This window comes from Homo sapiens, chromosome 13 (assembly GCF_000001405.40).
Source record: "Homo sapiens chromosome 13, GRCh38.p14 Primary Assembly".
NCBI lineage: Eukaryota > Metazoa > Chordata > Mammalia > Primates > Hominidae > Homo > Homo sapiens.
The window spans coordinates 93,022,898-93,045,340 of record NC_000013.11 but is presented as its reverse complement, the minus strand read 5'-3'; the positions used below and the strand labels follow the sequence as shown (position 1 = coordinate 93,045,340).

Genomic DNA, 22,443 nt, shown 5'->3' with positions numbered 1-22,443 from the left:
GGCCAATTCACATGGTGACAAAAGAATTCCCAGCAGCAAAGAAAGTGAGCTCCAAGGTGCAAACACTGGCCACACTTTGCTTGAACTGCATTTGTTTAGGCCTCACTAACCATAGTAAGTCACATGGCCACGCCTAGATTCCAATTGCAGAGAAGTAGGCTCCATCCCTTGATTGGAGTGAATGAAAAATACTGTGGGTGGTTTTTTGTATTTGTTTGGTTTTTAAAAATCTATCACAGAGAAATGCTGGAAGAAAAACAAACAGCTGAGAGGCTACACTTCAACTTTTCCTTAACTATTTATTTAGGCTTTTCTGAGACTAGAACTTTGTGTTGGGGTGGAGAGATGAGGGGAATCTCCAGGTTGCAGCTATAAACAGAGATTCCTGAGAGTCTGAAATCCAATAAAGAACAGAGTGTTGGCTTCTGAATTAGAGCTTCAAATTGCTGCAGTTGAGAAGAAATGTCTCTGCCCCACACAATGTCACCATGTGGAAATTATATCTTCCAAGACATGAAGTTACCTATTGGAGGAAACATCAAGCCAAGCTTCCAGTGGATTCCTGTTGGGGTGATCAGACCCAACACCAGGTCATGGGGGCAATGAAGTCCGGTGGAGTCAAAGGATTGAGAAAAAGACAGTTTGAGAAGTGGGACCAGGAGGCCATCATGATTTTGGAGGCTGCAAGGGCCCTGAGCTCTGAGAGCCCACACTATTTATTGGTAATCCAACAGAGAAACAGGTGGTGAGAATGTAGGGGTCAAAAATGGCAGCTGCATGATCTACAGCTGTGATGGTTTAGCATTTATATGGAACATGTTCTGCTACTTGAGATAATGGGAATACAATCAATCTAGGAGCCTAGGAGGGCTAGAAGCAAGGAGCCAGCAAGTCTAGACATATTCCAGGGGACATTGTGCAAGCCCTGCCTCAGCTTTCTTCCCAACACTCAGCTTTTTCCCAACATGCCCCCCTTCTCTTTTTTGTAAAAGAGAAGGTATCATTATTACTAGCTATCATTATTACTAGCATAAAAGGTGGCCTCTTTTAATTGAGCAAGGCGATTGTAGGCCGTGCGGCCCTTAATTGCCGGTTGGTGATCCAGCTTCATTTTTCTTAGCCCTTATTCAAACTGGAGTCACTCTGGTTTGAATGCTTCCCACATATTTCCCTTTTCCCTTTTACAAGAGGACCCTTAATCCTAGGGGTTGCAGAAGGATGAAGGTCCGTCTTCTGTAACTTCTTCATGCTGAATAGGGTCTCTTGTCTCTTGTATTCAGGATAGAGAGGAGCTGAGTCAGAAAGCATTGGTCCATCAAGCATCGTGACTCTGGTCGGTCCTTGTTCCGTCTTCGCATTCAGATTCAACTGGCTTATGGCTTATAATGGGGGAATCTGGTCCATGGTTGGGATCCACGGGTCCCTCCAGTCTCCCATTCCATGGTCATACACATCTTGAGGGCATCCACACGGTTCGTTCATCTCCTGCAAAAACACAAACATACCCTCACCCTCACCTTAGTAAACCTACTGAAACAGAAGCAAAAACTTTTGTGGCTGTAGCCGGGAGGCATGCCGTTGCTGAAGCATTTGTAACTCAGCTTCTGCCTTGTTTAATTACCAGGGGGTAAAACTTACTGTTGATTAACGAGAAGCAGGCCCCTTCTAACAGGAGGCACAGAGAAAACAAATCGAGGCTTAAAAGCAATCCTTAAACCTTCAATTTGCACTGTTCAGGTGGGTCCACTAGATGCTGTGGTTCATGACAGATCTTCAGATGTTTGGTGGGCACCCACATAGGTGCCTGATTGTCACGTGGAGAGACACAAGCAAATCCTCTTCCCTGTAAAATTATCTTTAGGCAGGGATTGGAGGAAGTAGATTCAGAGGTAAGGAGAATTTGGGGGTCTAATGGCTTCCTGATGTTTGATAGGTGTTCCCTCGGAAGTTAGGAATTCCCTTTCTCTCCATATTGCTGCGTGGGCATGGAGGACTAGGTAAGCATACTTAGAGTCTATATATTTACCCTTTTTCTTTCTCCTAATTCTAGTGTATAATGGCCCCTGCTTTTGCTAGGATGTCTCTCCCTAACAAAGGAGTGGGGCTTTCAGGCATAATTAGAAAGGCATGTGAAAAGAATAAAGTTCCCCAGTCACAGCTTAGTGGCTGGGAGAAGTACCTAGTGACTGCCTGTCCTAGGACCCCTCGGATAGTGACAGATCTGGAGGACAGTTATCTGGGACAGGAGAGTAAGATTGAGAAGCCCGTGCCAGTGTCCAGGAGACAGTTAACCTCCTGGCCCTCAATGGTCAAGCATACCTGGGGCTCAGTGAGGGTGATGGCATGGGCTGGTGCTTGCCCTGGGCACCCTCAGTCCTGCTGCTGGATCAGCTTCTGACTCAGAGGACCTTCGTCCCCTGGAGCAGTAGGCCTTCCAGTAATTCCCTTGACATAAGGGGCATGGATGAGGGGGCGGCTTATTTCTGTTCGGACAATCTTTTTTAAAGTGTCCTTATAGACCGCACTGGAAGCAAGCCCTATTAGGCATTCGATTTGCCCAGCCTTCCCCTTTTCCAGAGCCTCCAAAGTCTGCTTGCCTGAGGGCCATGACTAAAGCAGTGGCCTTTTTTTTTTTTTTGATCCCGTTTGTCCCATTCCGCCTGCTCCTCCTGATCTTTGTTATAAAAAACTGAGGTTGCCAAGTTCAGTAGGGTTTCTAAGTTTTGTTCCGGGCCTAAGGTGGACTTCTGAAGTTTTTTCTAATGTCTGCAGCTGACAGAGTGATACACTTATCCTTTAAGATTAGTTGGCCTTCAATAGAGTCAGGTGACAGAGAGGTATGCTTCCTCAATGCCTGCCTTAGTCTCTCCAGAAAGGCATTAGGATTTTTTTCCTTTCCCTGTGTTATAGTGGACATCATTGAGTAATTCATCGGCTTCTTCTTAGTTTTCCTTAGTCCTTCTAACATGCAAGTTAGCAAATGTCTGTGGCACCCATCTCCATGTTCTGACTCTGTGTCCCAGCGAGGGTCTACACTGGGAACTGCCTGCTGGCCTGTGGGGAATCGTTCTCTTTGCTCTGTTGTCATCCTATCATTGACCTGACTGAGACACCAGAGATCACCAAACTCTCGGGCTGCAGTTATGGTGGCATTTCTCTCATTTGGGGTTAGTGTCTGATCTAGCAGTAACATTATATCTCTCCATGTCAGATCAAAGGATTGTCCTAACCCTTGTAAAACATCAATATAGCCATCAGGGTTATCTGAGAATCTACCTAGGTCTATTTTAAGTTGCTTCAAATCTGAGAGGGAAAAAGGTACACACACTCTGACTGGGTCGAATTCTCCAGAATACATCTTAAGGGCGTTTTTGCCTTGGGGGGAACATTTCCCATCTGAAAAAAAGAACATAGGGATGCCAGCACCCCTAGTCATTTTCTGATGAGCATTAGTCCTAGAGTGTCCTCTATGGTCCTAATGCTTATTCCTTTCCAGGGTACATAATCACCCATGGACCTCTGCTTATCGGATTAGTTACGCTCACCGATGTAGCAGTCCTGCACCTGTTTTCCCCTTTCTTGACCACAAAGAAAAGGGTCCGGGCTGCTGGATTCTAGTGGTCCTTTACCAGTGTGCCCAACATTGCCTTTGTGCTCAGGGGTGAGTCCTAGAGCTGGGCTGGGTTCCTGAGTATTTCATAATAACCCAGCTGCCCCTTCAAGATGCACTCCCATAAACAACAGTTCTTATGCAAATTTGTTTCAGAGAGGGTGTAGGTAACCTTTTGAGTCAGGATTGAGATAGAGTTTTTTGATTCTGTGAGTACTTTAAGGCTTGGCTGAGTGCAAACAGCTCGCATGTTTGAGCAGATCAATTATTAGGCAACTTTCCTAACTCTGCTTCTACAAGAGTTTCCCTATCAATTACTGAATACCCATTGTGTGTGTGTGTGTTTGTTTTTTTCCCCTCAATCACCCAGGAGGAACCATCTATCCTCCTGTCCTGAAGGGAGTCTCTCCCAGTTCTGGTTGGACCTTTGTATGGTAATTAAGATTTAAATCCCTCATTAGGAAGCCTGCTGGGTTAAGGGAATTTTCAGTGGTTAATGTTAAATCACCTTTTTCTAACAGAATAGCCCCATACTTTAAGATTGAGTTTATAAGCTACCTTTTTGCTTTTTTCACTTAGGATAGCTCTGAACTGGTGAGGTGTGCTCACAATGAGGTTACCTCTAAAGGTTATTTTTCTACTTTCTTCTGTTAGCAAAGCAGTTGCCGCTACCGATGGAATGCATTTGGGCCATCCGCGGGTTACTGGGTTAAGGATTTTTGTTAGGAAGGCTACTAGTTGTCAGTGGTCTCAGTGCTTTCAGGCTATGCCCTTGTTTACACTGACAACAAGGTAGTATTGGAGTGTTATAGGGTCATGGAGAAGACCTCCATTTATCAATTATAGGTTTTACATTTACCCTGGCTTTTAAAGGAATAGGGTACGCTGTTTTTTCTTGTATATATCTCTTTCTTTCTCCTCTGTAGATGGGTTTTGGAAACAAAGTGGAAGGACATTTGCTCGTTGCCCCCATTTGCCACTATAGGAATATACGCCTCCCTTTAATTTACTGAATTTGTTTTCATCCTGATCTATTATGTTGTTGTAGACCCAGTTCCAGCTGTTAAAGTACTAGGTTATCAGTTCTAAGGCCCTGGGCAAGGAGCCAAGGCTTGAAGATTGTATTGCAGGGGGGGTAAGCTGGGTAGAAACTGGGGAGCAGAGCATCTTAAAAGAGCATCTTATAGTTACGGGGAATTACCATGCTTCAAGGTCTCTCTCGGCTCTAGCCTTTTGAATAGAATTTTGTGTAGCACCACCAATTGCTCCAGGTTTTAATGTTTCAACTACGGGAGCAGTAAGTTTTGTAGCCAATTCATCTTCTTGCCCATTAAGAGGAGAGAGGAAGTGGCCTTTCACTTAATTCAGCAGGTGGAGCTGATGGGCTAGTAAAACATATCCTTTCTTTAAATTTCCTCCGTTTCCTGTTCCTCACATTCAGAATCTGAAGTTCGATTTTTACACTCGTCTTCCTCTTCCTCATCTGAATCTGCCTCATCGTCTGTTTGAAATGGCTCAAGAGCTGCTTTTATTAGCACCCACAGTGAACAAACAGACTGGAATTTTTGCTCCATCTTTATACACTTTTTTAAAAACCTCTTCCAATTCTCTCCCATGCATCCAACTCCATAGTCCCTTGTTCTGGGAACCATGGGCAAAACTGCTTTACTGCACTAAAGAGTGAGTGATAACAAATTCTGAGTACTAACTTTCACTCCCCCTCTTTGTGATAAATGCCTTAAGAAATTTAAATAAGCAGAAAGTCTGCTTTCACTTTGTCTCATTGTTACCCTGGTTCTTCCGAGTGCTCAGCTTTCCCGCTGAGTTTCTTTTAGACGTCCTCGAGTGTCCTTTGACGATGCATCCTCCACTTTCCCACGCTCTAGTGTTCCTTCACCAGGGTCTTTGTTGCCCCACATCGGGCAGCCAGGAATGTTGGGGTAATCAGATCCAACACCAGGTCGTGGGGGTAACAAAGTCTGGCAGAATCAAAGGATTGAGAAAAAGACAGTTTGAGAGGTAAAGTGGGACCAGGAGGCCATCGCGATTGTGGAGGCTGCGAAGGCCCCGAACTCTGGGATCCCACACTATTTATTGCTAATCCAACAGAGAAACAGGTGGTGAGAATGTGGGGGTCAAAATGATAGGCACATGATCTACAGCTGTGATGGTTTAGCATTTATATGGAACATCTTCTGCTACTTGAGATAATGGGAATACAATCGATCTAGGAGCCCAGGAGGGCTAGAAGAAAGGAGCCAGCAAGTCTAGACACATTCCAGAGAACATTATGCAAACCCTGCCTGAGCTTTCTTCCCAACACTCAGCTTTCTTCCAACAGATTCCCAGAGGCTCTTGCTGTAAACCACAGGAGCTCACGTCGTCTGGTTTTGGCCTACTGCTAACTACACCATCAAAATAGCTCAGCACTGCTAAATCCATGACTATCCTGGCCACAGAGATCTGGAGGTCATTGGCATGCTTCCACAATGGTCAGCTCTTTATAGGAAGGGGATGAGGAAGAGTTGCAATACAGCCAATGAGTGTTCCGCATTATGAGATCTCTCCACCCCTCAGCTTTCCCTGGGTCAGCCTGTAATGGGAATTGCAAAGGAGAGAGACAAAGTGTACAGGGTTCAAAGTGCTTTGTGCCTCAATATGTCTCCAAAGGATACATAAGTGTTTTTTTCAATAACCACACACATACAAATACATATATGTATCTGTTGAGATGGGGTCTTGCTTTCTCACCTAGGCTAGTCTTGAGCTCCTTTTCTGAAGCCATCCTCCCACCTCAACCTCCCAAAGTACTGGGATTACAAGCAGAAGCCACCATGCCAGGCCCATGCTTTTGTGTTTTTTATGGAGGTAGTTGTTGTTACTTCTTGTTTCCACTAAAAAGTAATTCCGGATTGCCTGGGGTAGGAATTGAGTAGAAAAGAGTATAGAGAGAAAACTGACTTTAGAATTTTTGATGTGAAACCAGTCTGGAAAATCCAGATCATGACCCTAACAATGAGAGTGGTATTAGCATTTATTGTGTCTCTACTCTAGGCCAGGGACTTTAATTACACAAGTCCATTTAATCTTCCCTATAAACCAGAGTGGGAAGAGTGATCTTCATGGCACATATGAGGAAATAGGTTTGGTTTTAGCTGGAGTAAAATATCAAGTAGCCACATTGAGGCTTTTGCAAGTCAGCCACTGACATTGCCTACCTGTCCTCTCTGTAGGCTCCTCTTCCCAGGGCACAGGCAATTTTACCTGTAGTTTCAGGATCGAGGTTGTCTCAGTTCCAAAGAAAATATTACTATATCATGTCCTTCCTAGATTTTTACCATAGTCATCAAAAATTAATCATGAATTACCAATCAATTATTTAGTATAAAGACCAAACTTCTCAATCTAGTATCTCATTTCTAGTAACTCGGGTTCTACTTTTTTCCCTCTACCCTGTCTTCCTGCATTTTAATCTATCTAATCCATTGTTCCTTCCATAACTCAATTCCATTACCCCGTCAGAGATGAGTCTCTGTGTTGTCTCTGTGATTAGTCTCTGTGTTGAAATTAAGGACGAGTTACTTGCTCTCAGACTTCCTTGATTTCTTCTGCTTGTTAGCCTTGGTTTCTGAAGAGATCTAGCTCTTCTTCGTCAAGTTTTCAGAAACTCTGAGACATGTTTCACGTCAGACCACCTCTGACAGACTGTTTTCATGAACTATCACTGTTCATTTTATTTATTTATTTATTTATTTATTTATTTATTTATTTGAGACAGGATCTCGCTCTGTTGTCCAGGCTGGAGTGCAGTGGCAGAGTTATATCTTACTTGAACTACAACCTTGAATTCCTGGGCTCAAGTGATCCTCCTATCTTAGCCTCCCAAGTAGGTAGGGTTATAGGTCCATGTCATCATGCCCAGCTCGTTTTTGTTTGTTTGCTTGCTTAATTTTTTTCTTTTATTTATTTATTTATTTGTGTAGAAACACAGTCTTGCTATTTTGCCCAGGCTGGTCTTAAACTCCTGGCCTTAAGAGATCCTCCCACCTCAGCCTCCCAAAGTGCTGGGTGTTTGTGATATTTATTTATCACCAAGATGCCATCAGTACATTTTGTCTCTAGCATGGGATTCTTTCCAGCATTCACAACTTAGTTCTCTTCTTACCTGTCTCATTTAAGTGCCAGGTTTGGAGAGAGGGGGTTCAAAATAATGGGTCTAGGTCCAGTTTGCCCTGTTTGTCTGTACTTTATGCAGTTAATCTCTAAGAGAGGGGCTGCCAAGATATAGGAACATTATATTTATATCATTACTTGTTCTAAGCAGACAAATGTTGATGGAACCAGGGAAGTATATTTTGTAAAGAAGTGCTATTAATAGAAATATTCAGTATTTTTAAAAAGAAAAACACAAAATAATTAGTTTTGAATTATCAAAAAGAAAATATGTTTTCTTCAAAAGTATGCAATAACCCAGCTACGGTGTTTTTTTCTTTTAAAAGCTTGGATGGAGTATTACAATGAACCTGACCAATTAAAAAACTTTAGAAGATTCTAGCTATTAATGAACATATATTTTACTTCATTAATTTTGCATAAATGCCTTTTCTGATCATTCATGACCTAGAGAGTGGTCTAAGGTATTTACAAATTGGATGGATCACTTGCACACCATTAAAATGATCAACGTTGCCTTGACTTCTTTACTTGTTCCCATGACTACCATATAAATTTCCCGAAGCAATCATTTAAATGGCCACATAAAATTTTAGATGATTTCCTTTGGAAGGGTAAGAGACCTTGAATTAATAGGACTACTCTTCTGGATGTTTAGAATAAAAAAGGAATTATTCTTTCTCTTCCTTAAAATTATAAGACATTAACATACATGTGTCTTACATACAGTCTTATTAAGAAATTGCAATTGTAGTTTGTGTTTCTTGGATATTTTCTTTTTAACAATGTAAGAATGGACAAAAGTGCTGAATTCTTTAAATGTGGAGAGATCTATCACAGATTTCACTGAGAAAAAAATTATAATTATGACCTTCTACCTGGTTTTACAGTTATCGTATTTTAGATAAATTAGCCAGCCAAATGGCACTGCAAAATTTGCTTTTCATTTTTTAGTTACTTCCGTAAAAGCTTATGTAAGCAGTTTAATGTGTCCACAATTTTCTCTAAATTGTGAATATAAAAATGAGTTTATAAATCAGAAATTCTAGTTTTGTAGTATAATGTGACATTTTTAACCATTTGTAATACTATAAAATTAATTCCTGCTGAACATTTAACATTAAACCATCAACATACGTCTTGTCATGAATGTTCCAAGATTTAAGTAAAAACTTAGATACATATTTTTATAATATGAAAAAACATTCTTGTAATGAACACATATGTTAAGGCAGACATTTATTATGTGCATGAAATCTCTTCAGAAAAACTTCTATTCAAAAATATTTTGCAAATGTTAGGTAGACTAAATTTTAAAAATAGGACAAAAAAGCATATGACAATAAGAATGATACCACTCAATACAGGACTAGATAATGCAAATCATGACTGGCCTCCTAATTCTAATTATTTTAAAAGAAACTCATTTCAAACCCAACGCTTTTGAAAAAAGTTATTGATCTTAAAATTTCTCAAGCTGTAAATATTTAGGCAATCAACAATGTCTGATTTACTCAATTTTATTTTACATAACAGCCCAGGAGATATATCACTATATGTCCATATATTTCCTGAGGCAGTCAGCTGCAACTCCTAGGCAACATAGAATATTAATTCAGTTTAGTCTCCTGAATTTCAGGAAGTTTTGGTGCAAACCACATATTATATTTACTTTCTGTTTATGGGTTTAAAGATTAAATGATTTATTTCTTAAATAGCTGTTCATCTTTTTTTCTTTTTAAAACTAACATTTTATGTTCTATTTATATAGCAAATGATGCAAAATCAACCAGTCTATAGATTTATATAGAATCATGTTACTCGCTACTGACATTACTATAGAGTATAACTTACTGCCCCCTATGAGAAAAAAGTGAGTTATTTGTTTAATTTGAATAAATTATCATTTTGAGAGAAGCAAGAATATGTGATTGGCATACATTTTTACAAAAATAAACCTAAGAAAAGTGACCATATTTTAAAAACAAAGACACTAAATTAATTATTCTCTTTTGTCCTAACTAATAGGAGATTAGTTATGATAATACAGTTCAAACATTTTACTCATTGATTTCTGTTTGCATTAACGAAATATGTATTTTCTGATCCTGGGGTTGTGTCATATATTCTGCGCTTGAGCTGTTCTGATTTGAGAGAGAAGGTGGGAATAATCAGAAAAGAAATGGAGAGGTAGCTGACAAAACTATCCTGGCCTATATTCAGATTCTACCATCAGAAACGTATTTATTATTAATGGTCTTCCTGTAGGATACTTAAGACTGGATTATTTTAACAAATTATTTTCATGATGGTTATTGAGACCAGTTATTTTTACTATTACTATTTTTTAACTAATGGGGAGTTCTCATTCCCATTTTAGAGAAATGGGAGGTAGTTACCAGAGAAGAGTAAATCACTATGCCTTGACAGATGTCCCAGAGTCTTTCTGTGATAGGAACTGTGGCTTAGAGTAGGAAAAAGATGGGAGGCCAGCGAATATAAATACTATGTACTTGACAATTTTTCAAGAACCAGTGTTCTTTTTTGCTCACCTTTTCCGGATTATCCCTATTTCCTGGGTTTTCAACACAGCTAAGACAGGAGACCTTTGGCCCTTCAGACAGTAGCACCCCTTGACAGGGAGAATTTACCGTAAAATATTGTTGGTTTTTTCTGTTTTTAATATGCAGAAAAGACTAACACATAGTAAGGGAGGTACAGTGGAAAGAGGTCAGGCATTGGGGTTTGAAGATCTGTATTCAAATTTGATCTATGCCACTTATTAGCTATGTTAATGGTCAAGTTATTTAGCTTTCATATTTGTCAGGATGGCTAAGTTATACACTGGTAACAAATAATTTCCAAATATCAGATGTATTTTTCTCTCAAGTTACTTGCCACTGGTATTTGCTGCCTTCTGTTTGCCTCAATCTGGAACCCACTATCTGGAATTTGTCAATAATGGAACAAAAGAAAAGAGTTCTGGAGCATCATTTAGTATCAATTAAAGCTCATAACACATGGCCTAGAAGTTATTAGGTGGCTTCACCCCACCAGCGAGAGGCAATACAGTTCGATTATGTACTTAGAAGGCAAGTACATAATTATGTACTTTGAAGTGCTGATCTTAGAGGGTATCCATTACAGTGCAAATATCATCAGCCCTTGCCTAAATTTGTATTGCAACTGAAACTAATGATTTTTAACTGCAAGGACTTTTAAAAGGAAATAAAACCATTGGAAATTAAGCTGGAGATGAGTGTAATGAGGCTAAAAAACAATTGAAACCATCTTTTCTCATCGCTTCAATATACTACTTCTTACATTGTACATCATAATTATTGCCAACAGAATTTACTTAAGAGCAAAATAAGAACAGAGAGAACAGAGCTCTATTTATAATGTCAGATAGTGCGGGAGAGACCTTAGCTCCTTGCATCATGTCTCCCAATTCCTCTGATTTCAGCCTCAGCTGATGGACAGATTGTTTAAGATTGAAGAGCCCATTCATGCTTCATGGAGGGAAACAAGAGATTTTTTTCATACAACCTCAGTGAAGGAGACGATGAAGACGTAAGTCCGCATAAAACAACTCTTTGGTGAACAACATGAATGATAAGCACAGCATTTCTGAGCTTCAGTTTCTGCATAAATAATATAAAAACGTGGAGTCAAACATGATAATATATGTAAAACACCTGCTAGAAATAATGCCTCATATGTAATCATTTTAATAAAATGTAATTGTTAGTTTCACCAATTATTATCATTAGGATACTGAAGCCTAGGGGAAACTAAGCATATTCTAATGCATTACAGAAATAATTTCCGCTTCATAGAGATTAGCAATCTATGGCCCACGGACAGCATGCGGTCCACCACCAGTTTTCATAAATATATTTTAATTAGAACATAGTCACACCCATTCATTGTGCATTGTTTATGGCTGTTTTCACTCTAAAATGATAGAATTGAGTAGCGGCCACAAAGACCATATGAACCACAAACATGTACAATCTGCCCCTTTAGAGAAAAAAATTGCTGATCCCTGTTCTAAAGGAATAGCAAGTTGTTAACAAAGTAACCTGTCTTAGTTTGTATTCCCTTGAGACAAAGACCTAGGTGTGAGTAGTTTATACTGGAGTTGATGTGAAAGTAGGGGTGAAAGGGTGGCCAAAGTGAGACAGGGATGGCGAAAAAAGCTAACAGGGAGATGTATTATTGAGTTTGTGCCTGTGCACAGCATTCACTTGATTCTACTAGGTCCTGTTGAGAAGTGACAGAATGTCTACTACAATTTCCAAAATTATCACCCTGAGGACAGGAGGCAGGGGCATTTACTCACTGGCTTCTGTTTCCCAATAGGGGCTGCTACTGGAGGTATTACTCCAGGACTTCTGGCTTTACTTGCATATAGGGCACATGGACTTCATAATGTTGCAGAATGTTCTTGGCAGAAAGATGTATGGAGTATGCTTGAGGTGAGTAACTGTCAATCAGAACTTGTGTGGCACTGTCCATCAGCTGAGGCTAAAATCAGAGGAATTGGGAGACATGACGCGTGGAGCTAAGGTCTCTCCCACACTGTCTGACATCATAAATAGAGTTCTGATCTCTCTGTTCTTATTTTGCTCTTGAGTAAATTATATTGGCCATAGTTATGATGTACAATGTAGGAAGTAGTATATGGAGGGACTATGAGAGAAGATTGTTTCAAGACTGGCACTAGAGTCATGCCTATAATCTCAGTCTAAGGGGGTGATAAAAACAAGTGCCCAGAAGAAATGATGAAAAAGATTATTTACCACGTATAGTGGCAGTTTTTTCTGTAAAGGATAAGGTAGCATCTATCTGATAATAGCTGTTATATGCTTTGATCCTCTTAAGTCTGATAGCAATGCCGCTGATAAAAAATTTCCTGTTAGGGATAGATATAAAGTGCTGATCTTAGAGGGTATCCATTACAGTGCAGATATCATCAGCCCTTGCCTGAAATTGTATATTGCAACTGAAACTAATGATTTTTAACTGCATGGGCCTAAAAAAAGAAATAAAACCATTGGAAATGAAGCTGAAGATGAGTGTAATGAGAACAAGAAAACCAGACTGAAGAGCCCATTCACGCTTCATGGAGGGAAACAAGAGATTTTTACATACAATCTCAGTGAAGGAGATGATGGAGACATAAGTCTGAGTCAGATCATTCCAGGCATTTATCTGCTAAATATGGCTCTACTGGTGATTAAACAAAGTATTTCATTCTCTTTTTTAAAATAAAAGGACAGATATCAATAAAATTACTTCTAAATTTTACAAATAGGTGCCTTATAGTCATTTATTTTAAATTTTGAATTTGAAATCATAATGTAGTAGATAAGCTACAATGAGAAGATGAGAATGCTTTGAATAATTTTGTTCAAAAAATAACCACCCAATTGTCTTCATGGGGGAAGGAGTGCATTAATCTGTTCTTGCATTGCTATAAGGAAATACCTGCTGGGTGTGGTGGCTCACACCTGGGAGGCTGAGGTGGGTGGATCACCTGAGGCCAGGAGTTTGAGATCAGCCTGGCCAACATGGTGAAACCTCATCTCTACTAAAAATCCAAAAATTAGCCAGGCGTGGTAGCGGGTGCCTGAAACGCCAGCTACTCAGGAGGCTGAGGCAGGAGAATCATTTGAACTCATGAGGCGGAGATTGCAGTGAGCCGAGAGTGCGCCACGGCACTCCAGCCTGGGCGACAGAGTGAGACTCTGTCTCAATAAAATAAAATAAAATAAAATAAAATAAATAAAAAAATAAAAAATAAAAATAAAAAGAAATACCTACAACTGGGTAATTTATGATGAAAAGATGCCTGAAGGCCTCAGGAAGCTTCCAATCATAGCAGAAGGCAAAGGAGGGGGCAGGCATATCACATTGTGAAAGCAGAAAGAAGGGAGTGGGTGGGGAGATGCTGCACGCTTTTAAACTACCAGATCTCACAAGAACTCGTTCATTATCATGAGGACAGTATTGTATCGCTAAAGGTTCTTGCCTTAGCCATGCCAAAGATTTGGTGTGGCGGCAGCCCGTGTTGAGAGAGAGACACGGATCGGACCTAGAGAAAAAAAAAGCTGTAGGCTTTATTGAACAGAGTGACGGTACAAAGCTTCCACAGCGTGGAAGGGGTCCCGGGCGGGTGGCCAGTGTTAGATTTTTTGATCACCTTTTAAACTCTTTAAGGTGGGAAATACGTGCGGTGCCCCTGGAAGATGTTACCAGATCGAGAAACAAAGACAATTAACATGTCTCCGGTCTTGAGGAGAACCGAAATTGTAACTTAAGTTTTATCTACTTTATAACCTTGCAGCAGCAAGGGAAAGGAGACAGGATCTCACAGGATTTTACAAATTGTGTTTACAAGGGATTGGAATTGGGAGCATAGATAAGGTCTGCTGGTCACAGAAAAACGGGTTTTTAACATTCCTTTTAGTTTCAGGAGACGGGGAAGGGAGAGAGGACACAGGGAAGCTTACAGCAAAATTTTCGCTGTTTATAGCTTTCTTGGGGGAGAAAACACATGCACAAATTCTGATGTTGGGAATATTTTAAGCATATACCTTCAATATTATTCATCCAGGGCCAAAGTAAATCCTGATGCAGGAAAGGAGTGAATTTCACAGCTTTCTGAGCCCCTACTCAACCCAGGAAGCCCAGCTGGAACCTCCTCTCAGTATCAAGGAGGATGGTGCTAAAATATTCATGAGAAATACATCCCCATGATCCAATCACCTCCCACCAGGCCCCACCTCACATTTCAACATGAGATTTGGGTGGAGACACAGATGATTGAAACTGTTTCAAGGAGTAAAGAAGATTCAAGGAGTAAATCTGAGTACAGATAAAATTTAAAGAAGATAATTATGTTTTCTAAGAGCTTGCACAAAATGCTTAATATCAAAACTTTGTCTGTAAAAGGACTACTGCTTGCTTAAGCGAATGAATGAATGAGTAGACAGTCTAAGATGATATGCAACCTCAAGAAAACCCTGCATAGTTCTCCTCTCTAGTTAAGACCAAAGCTGTTAAGATTTTCTATACTACTTAAATAGATTCTCATTCTAAGCAGGCCAATCTCCTCTCCAGCCGCTGGGCATCAGGCTCTTTTGTAGTCCTGTATGATCTTCTTCCCCTGCAGCATACACACCTGCCTGTTTCAAGGTCTAGGTCAGTACCACATCTGTAGGAGGCCCTACTGTCACAGCTCCTGTCCACACTACTCCAATTGTTTTGGCAATTAAGTAACTAGTCTAGTCACAAATTAACACACTGCATAAAAACTTTACGTTTACCTAAAGTTTTACCTAATGTGTATATATGTTTTATTCTATTAGATTGTTCTAAGCCCCTAGAAGGGAGCAACAATTTTTTTTTTTTTTTTTTTTTGAGACAGGGTCTTGCTCTTTGAGCCAGGCTAAACTACAGTGGCATGATCATGGCTCACTGCAGCCTTGCGCTCCCTGCAGCCTTGACCTCCTGAGGCTCAAGCAAACCTCTCACTGCAGCCTCCCAAGTAGCTGGGACTACAGGTACACACCACCATACCTGGCTAATTTTTGTTTTGTTTTGTTTTGTTTTTTAAGAGACAGGCTTTTGCTGTATTCCCAGGAGGTTGGTCTTGAATTCCTGGGCACAAGGGATTAGCCCGCCTGGGTCTCCCAAAATGCTAGGAATTACAGGCTTGAGCAACTATGCCCGGCCTGGAGCAATGATTTCTGTAACTCCTTTTGTATCTTCTGATTCAACTTGTTGCTATGTTGAACGCTTATTTTGGCTTCACATATATTGTGCTTATGCTAGCTAGTCAAAAGTTATGAATGAATTGGTCATCTCTGAATTGCTACTGTTGCCATGTTAACAGAAGCTTACAGTAAAGTTGTCCTATATTCACATGCAATTAAACAAAAACTGTGGTTTCTGTTCTTTCACTGATAAAAGAATAATTTTTTCTTCTAAAACAGACAAATATACACAGTTGTTTTCTTTCCATTTATCTTGACTGTCTTTTAAACTCAAGATCTGCTCAACTCTTTCACAAGGCAACTTGTGGAAATCAGTATTCCCCAAAGTGACTGCATGTAAAAGAATCACTATGGAGGCTTGCTTAAAATACAGATTGCCAATCTCCACCCCAGACCTACTGAATTAGAGACTTTAGAGAGGAGAACTGGAATCTGGATTTTTATCACATACTCACCTTAGGTCTTAAATGCCCACAAGTTTGAAATACACTTACATAAAAAACTCTCTGAGTATCCCTTTTTAAACACTAAAAGGGACACAAAAATACTCAATGTATAGAATTACACTGGATATTGAATGGCATAAATATGATGAAATAATATACCTAGGGAAAACCCAAGGATCATAGACAATAATTGATAAACTGCAGTTGAGATTTTCCTATTCTCTTATATCATTTTATAAAATCTTACTTTGAAAATTAAAAAAAAAAAACTAGTAACTCAATAAGCATCCCTTTTAGAAAGTCCCAACTTTATGGTTGTTCTATTACTGTGTCAGCTTATTGACTCATTCCAACGTCTACTTTGTTTTTTGGTGAAGCTAGTCTTAGTCGATTTAAGGTAGAGATCAGTGGTTTAAGATAGAGATCAGTTCCAGAGGAGACCTGTGGTTGTGCCATGTCTTTTCTTCTGGGATTTTTAACATCCAATTTTCTAATAAGATATTAACTACTATTAGTCTGTCATTACTACAAGTTATGACATTTTGGGTTGAGTGATTAAAAAATACTACAAGTTAAATTTTGCATCTACTTTCACCATTTCTATATCTTGAAAATTACTATTAATGGGTCATCTGGGAATTTTCACAATGATCATTTTCCTATCTATCTATATTATCTATCTATCTATCTATCATCTTATCTGTCTATCAATATCTATCTACCATCTACCTATCTGTCTAGTTAGCTAGCTAGAGTGATTGTTTTCTACCTCTCAGGGACATCTGAAACTAATAGATTAACATCCTAATTAAAATGATATTTTTATTTCCCAATCTATTTTATATACAACTATTTACTGCAGATAATTCAGTAATTTATTGATTTTCTGTGAAATCTCAAAAAGTTCTGGCCTCCATCTTTTTTCCTACAGAAAGCAAGACTTTGTTTTTATTTTCGTTAGATTTCCTGATGAGCATTTTATTTTGAGTTCTCTAAATAAAGACATGGAGTTTAATATTACACCTGGACTTTGGTAGATACCTTAATTAACCATGATGAATTGAATGATCTAAGTATTCTTGGTCCCCTATGAAACTCAAGTTGATTTAATCAATGTAATTCAGACATACAACGTAGAACTTTAAGAAGTTATATAAATATCTCACTTGCCAACAGCCAACAAATACATTTGTTCATCTATGTTCCTATGTATCTATTTATTTATCACTTATCTATGCTTAGGATATTCAAGAATGCCAAAGAAAAGGAATAAACCATAATGATAATACATTTGCTATTTTTAAAACATTAACTTTTCATTGCATATGTTCTCTAGAAATCATTTAACTCTAAATTCCTTGAGTAAAAATTTGAGCTTCTCTTATAATTATATAAGTACTCACCTAAAAATACAAAACCAATTTCCTCTTTATACCAAAGTTTGCTTGTGAAATACATGATAGTTTTTCCTCTACAATTCATCTGGTCAAACTGTCAAAATGAATTACTCAAGTTCCAAATGGGCATTGTTTTTCATTTTAAAGTATATAGAATTTAGCAAGTTTTCCTAGGTTTCAAGGACTCTGATCCAATGACATGGACAGAATTGATAATTTGCCTGACAGAGTCTTGGAAGCTTGCTCTCAAGTGAGTAACTACTAATAACCTTGGGTACCTGAGGCATCCATGACTTAGATAGTTAATGTGGAAATTAATGTGAATGCTGTGATACTGACCAGGCATTTGAACAATTATCTTTGAATTATCAGTAAATCCTTTGAACTATAGGAAATCATGGGTGACAAAAGTAGAAACCTGTTCAGCTTTGGAAGGCTCAATATATGATCCCGTCTGCAATGTTAAGAAATTTTCCTAAAACTTCGTATGATCTTTCTGTCATCAGTCTTGTAAATTATGATTTTATTACTGGACAAAGATAAAAATAAATGTATTTTGGAAAAAAAAATTTAGTGAGAAAAATAAAATCCTCTAGGTTTCAGGAATACTCAAAGCTATGTAGAAAAAATTTTGCTTGGTTAATCTACTCATAGTAAATAAAATATTATAATTATTTACAGCCTTGGTAAGTTTAAGCTTGGGCAAGTTTCTTTACTTTTCTGATCCTAGTTTTGTCATAGCTTAAATTTTTGCACAAATACCTACCTTTCAGGCTTGATGTAAGGTCTAAGTGAGACAATGTGGAAGTCTAACTTTTAGTACGCTGCTTCCCACACGGTAATGAATGGATACTGTTGTATAATAGCAGTGCTTATTGTTTTTAACAACACTTTACTCAAGAGAAAAAAATAGAGCATATTAAAAGAAATGCGTTTTGGAAATATTTTGTTGAACATACACAGTTTTTATTTTTTTTAAGGTAATGCTACAGGTTCTAGTCCCCAAATGATTTGTTGTCATCGTGTAGAACTAGCCTCTTTAGTCATTTTTACTCATGTGTCTTCATAAAATGTCATGGATGTTCTCTCAGCCTCACAAAAAGATCTCTAGAGGGACCTTATTGCACCCAGGCTTTTCAGCTAAGAAAGGACAAAAGAAAAATAGATAAACATGAAGAGAGGTGTGACAATTATTGTAGCATTGAAGACTTGGTTTAATGTAGACCACCATATTTTAAATCAATATACTATTATACATCATGATAAATGTTAGAATGTAATCAAAGTAATAAAATTTGTAAAACTCCAGTGCATTCACATATTGGTTATTATAAGCTTATATTTTTTTGTTAAAATTTTGTACCAGTGCAGATAGTTTTTTATTATGAATAGTTAGGAAAAATAAAATCACCGTTAAATTGGCATCATTTCTGATGACAAAGAAGAGTAAAAAAAGTTAATATCACAATTCTTGTATTCTGGAAAACTTTCCGTATAACATAGATGACATCAACATACTTATTTTTTCATATCTCAAGTAGTTTTTACACTAGTGATTACATAATTTATTGCATTTTAAATTGTGATGAAAGTAAAAGCCTTATCTTTAAAATTTGATGATAACCACATTACCTTTTAAATCTCTTCTGGGTAGAAACATTTTACATGTAGCACATAACCGGCAAACAAAAATTCCTTGACTGACTAAATTATATTTTTTATCTCAAGAAAAAGTAAATCTCACACAGTCAGCATAAAAGCTAAGAAACAATTTTGAGTCAATAATATTCAGAAGAGGTTATTTTAGTGTTTTTACTTCACGTTTCTCTCCATTTTCCCTTTTGAATATTGTTTCTCCTTGCAGCCGGACACCACGTAAAGTAACTCAAGCTGTTTTCAGTGTATTGCCACACAAAAGAACAAAGTTAAACCTTAAAGCATTTTTATATTAATTTTCTGAATTACTTATTCTATAGTCATTGTAGTCATTGCATAAGTGTTTAGTTCATATTCTCTTAGTTTCAATAACATAAAATATCACAGAGGGCACCTAAAATATTTTACAGTTTGATCATGGGAAGAAGGTGGAGACAGGGATTCTACAATGCCATAGAAACATTGTGGGATAGGAAGTATTTTGATGTTATAGAGCAGGAAAATATTAAGTGAATAAATTTACTGGAAAATAGAAACATCTATTTTCTGAAGCTGAAGCTACTAATGTTAATTTACATGTCACTGTCGTGTCAGGAACACCCCTAAGTATAACTCAGGAATTTCTATGCCCCTTATACAGTAATTTCAAGAAAGATGCCATATAACTCCAAAGAAGAGAAAATAAAGAATTTACTGCTAGTATGTGGAAGTAGGGAGTAAAGAAACTGAGGAGAGGAACTGAAATTCTTCCTTTTTTATTAAATTTATGATTTAGGTGAAGCATGAAATAGCTAACCTGAAGCTGGCACTTTAGGAAGAACATTTATGATAAAGGATAATCTATTTGGAATGAACATTTAGAAATAAAAGTAAGATAACATGAATCATTACAAGCATCTCCAAGTCACTGGTTCAATTAGCAAGTGAGAAAAGTAAAAAGGGATTTTCAAGATAAGTGTTTGTTATTAGACTCTGAGTTAATAGACTATATTTTCTTAGGGCAGTTTATCCCTGCAATGAAAGTACAGAATGTGACTCTAAGTAAATTATAGGAACTGGAATACGGTTACAAGGAAACTTAAATGTAAAGTGTTTACCACTAATTGTGTTTATGTAACTCCAGACCAGAACAAAATCACGCAAGCAGGATATCTTTGATATGTGTGGGGGTCATTAGTGCTACTCACATCGGTTCCAGTTCTCATTCTGGGCACAAAGAATGATTGCATTTTATCTCTTCTTTTGAAGTTGGATGTGCCCATGTAATTTGCTTTGATCAATAAAATGTTTGTACAATTATGCAAATCATTTGAAGATGGAAGCCTGAAAAACCAATGCAGGATCACTATGTTCCCTTCCCCAAGTCTAACATTGAAGAAGCACATGTAAAGATGGAATTTTTGTCATCCTGGGTACATGGGTGATTGATAAATGGATGCTCTCATAGACCAATCATGTGAGTTTTAATTTAATTTAATTTTTTTAGAGACAGGGTCTCACTCTGTCGCCCAGGTAGGAGTGCAGTGGTGTGATGATAGTAGCTTACTGCAACTTCAGACTCCTGGGCTCAAGTGATCCTCTCATCTCAGCCTCTCAACTAGCTGGGACTACTGGCATGCACTACTGCTCTCAGGTAGTTTTTTATTTTTTGCAGAGACAGGGTCTTGCTGTATTTCCCAGTCTGGGAAACTCCTGGGCCCAAGTGATCCTCCCACCTTGGGCTCCCAAAGTGCTGGGATTATAGGCATGCACCACCACACCCAGCCTGAGGTTTTCATTTTTGTTTTTGGAGTCAGGGTCTTGATCTGTCACCCAGGCTGGAGTGCAGTGGCATAATTATGGCTCACTGCAACCTCGACCTCCTCAGCTCACATGATCCTCCCAACTCAGCCTCCTGAGTAGCTGGGACTACAGGCATGTGCCACTATGCCCAGCTAATTTTTATATTTTTTGTAGAGATGGGGTCTTACTTGGTTGCCCAGGCTGGTCTTGAACCCCTGGGCTCAAGCAATCTTCCTGCCTTGGCCTCCCAAAGTGCTGGGATTACAGGCATGAAGCACTGCACTGGGCCCAGCCTGAGTTTTTAAATGTGCTTTATCTCTTTAAGTCTCAGAAGAGCTGTAAAGTTGATGTAATCATAGTACTTACATTACAGGATTATTGTGAGAATCAAAGATGATTTATATCTTGATATGCTGCCCAACAAGTGGTAACTTTTAGGGTCGTTGTTAAAACTTTAAAAAAATTGGTAAAATGCTTAAAGCTCTCTCTAGAAGTTTTGTATTTTTGCATCTAAATGATACTTTATAAGTGAACTTTTAATTTATCATTTTAATTTTGAGTTTTTTCTTTTCCTTACATTGTTACTTGCTTCTGAAAATGTGTTAGCATGCAAAAGTCACTGCATTTCTATACTATGCTTAACATAGAATTCACATTAATAATCTCACTAGACAGGAAACTACATAAAGCAAAAAGTACATGCCTCCACCATTCACCCAGGAATGAATGGCAAAAAGGGCAGAGAAGAGAGTTATAGTGGATTAGCCTTTGGCTGCCCAAGGGGTTTATGATGTTCTAGGAAACTAGAAGTGAGTCCTTAAGAATCATGTTTCAGTACTATGAAAAAAGCAAGGGAGTTATTTTCTGAGAACTTGTAGTTCAAATCTACTTGTACCTTGAAATCACTCAAAAATATGTTAAAATAGACAAGGTCATCACCCTAGAATAATTTTTGGCTATGAAGCTTACAATTGATAAGAAAAGAGTTAACAACTCCTGGAAAGAAGGAGCTCACCTAATAGGTTAGGGTGTAAGTTCAAAAGGGCAAGTTCCTTTTCCCTAATAAATAATTTCGGTTTACAGTGTACACGTCTCACAAGGCTCCAGGATTTTCTGTAGAATATATTCAGTTATGAAGCTACTTAAATAAAGTCTTTCTACCGGGTTTTGTTGTAGTTGTTGTTGATTAGGGTTTGGCAATGCAAAAAGGGCCACTTAAATAATTAATTGGCATATCACTGATTAGCTGAGACAATATAACTATTACATAAATTAAAAGATTAAAATGAAGCAAGGAAGCTATTTTCATATTGCTTTTAAAGCAAGGTTTTCTGTTAAAGTGCAGGCTACTCAGAAGTTATTTTCAGAGTCAGCTCTGCCTTAATATTTCAAACAGTCTTGTAAATTTGTCTCAGATTTTTCCAATCCACACAAACATTTTATCAACCCACCCTTCTAGTGAGGTTAATCTGTTGAAATGAATGAAGTCAGTATTTAATTTTATTTATTGCACATATAGTTTTTCTTATCTCCCTGATCTGAGAAGAAAAAAGGAGCTAATTCACCTTGGCAGTGAACCCAAGATCTCAGTGCCT

At 38.2% G+C, this 22,443-nt stretch overlaps 1 long non-coding RNA gene across 1 annotated transcript; it reads right to left on the bottom strand.

Moving 5' to 3' along the window:
* Nucleotides 1–11,073: 11,073 nt before the first annotated feature.
* Nucleotides 11,074–12,356, bottom strand: LOC105370317 (uncharacterized). The gene is made up of 2 exons (XR_931647.3): nt 12,129–12,356; nt 11,074–11,427 (listed from the first exon to the last, which is right to left on the bottom strand). It is a non-coding gene; the product is annotated as an uncharacterized LOC105370317 (long non-coding RNA).
* Nucleotides 12,357–22,443: the final 10,087 nt, after the last annotated feature.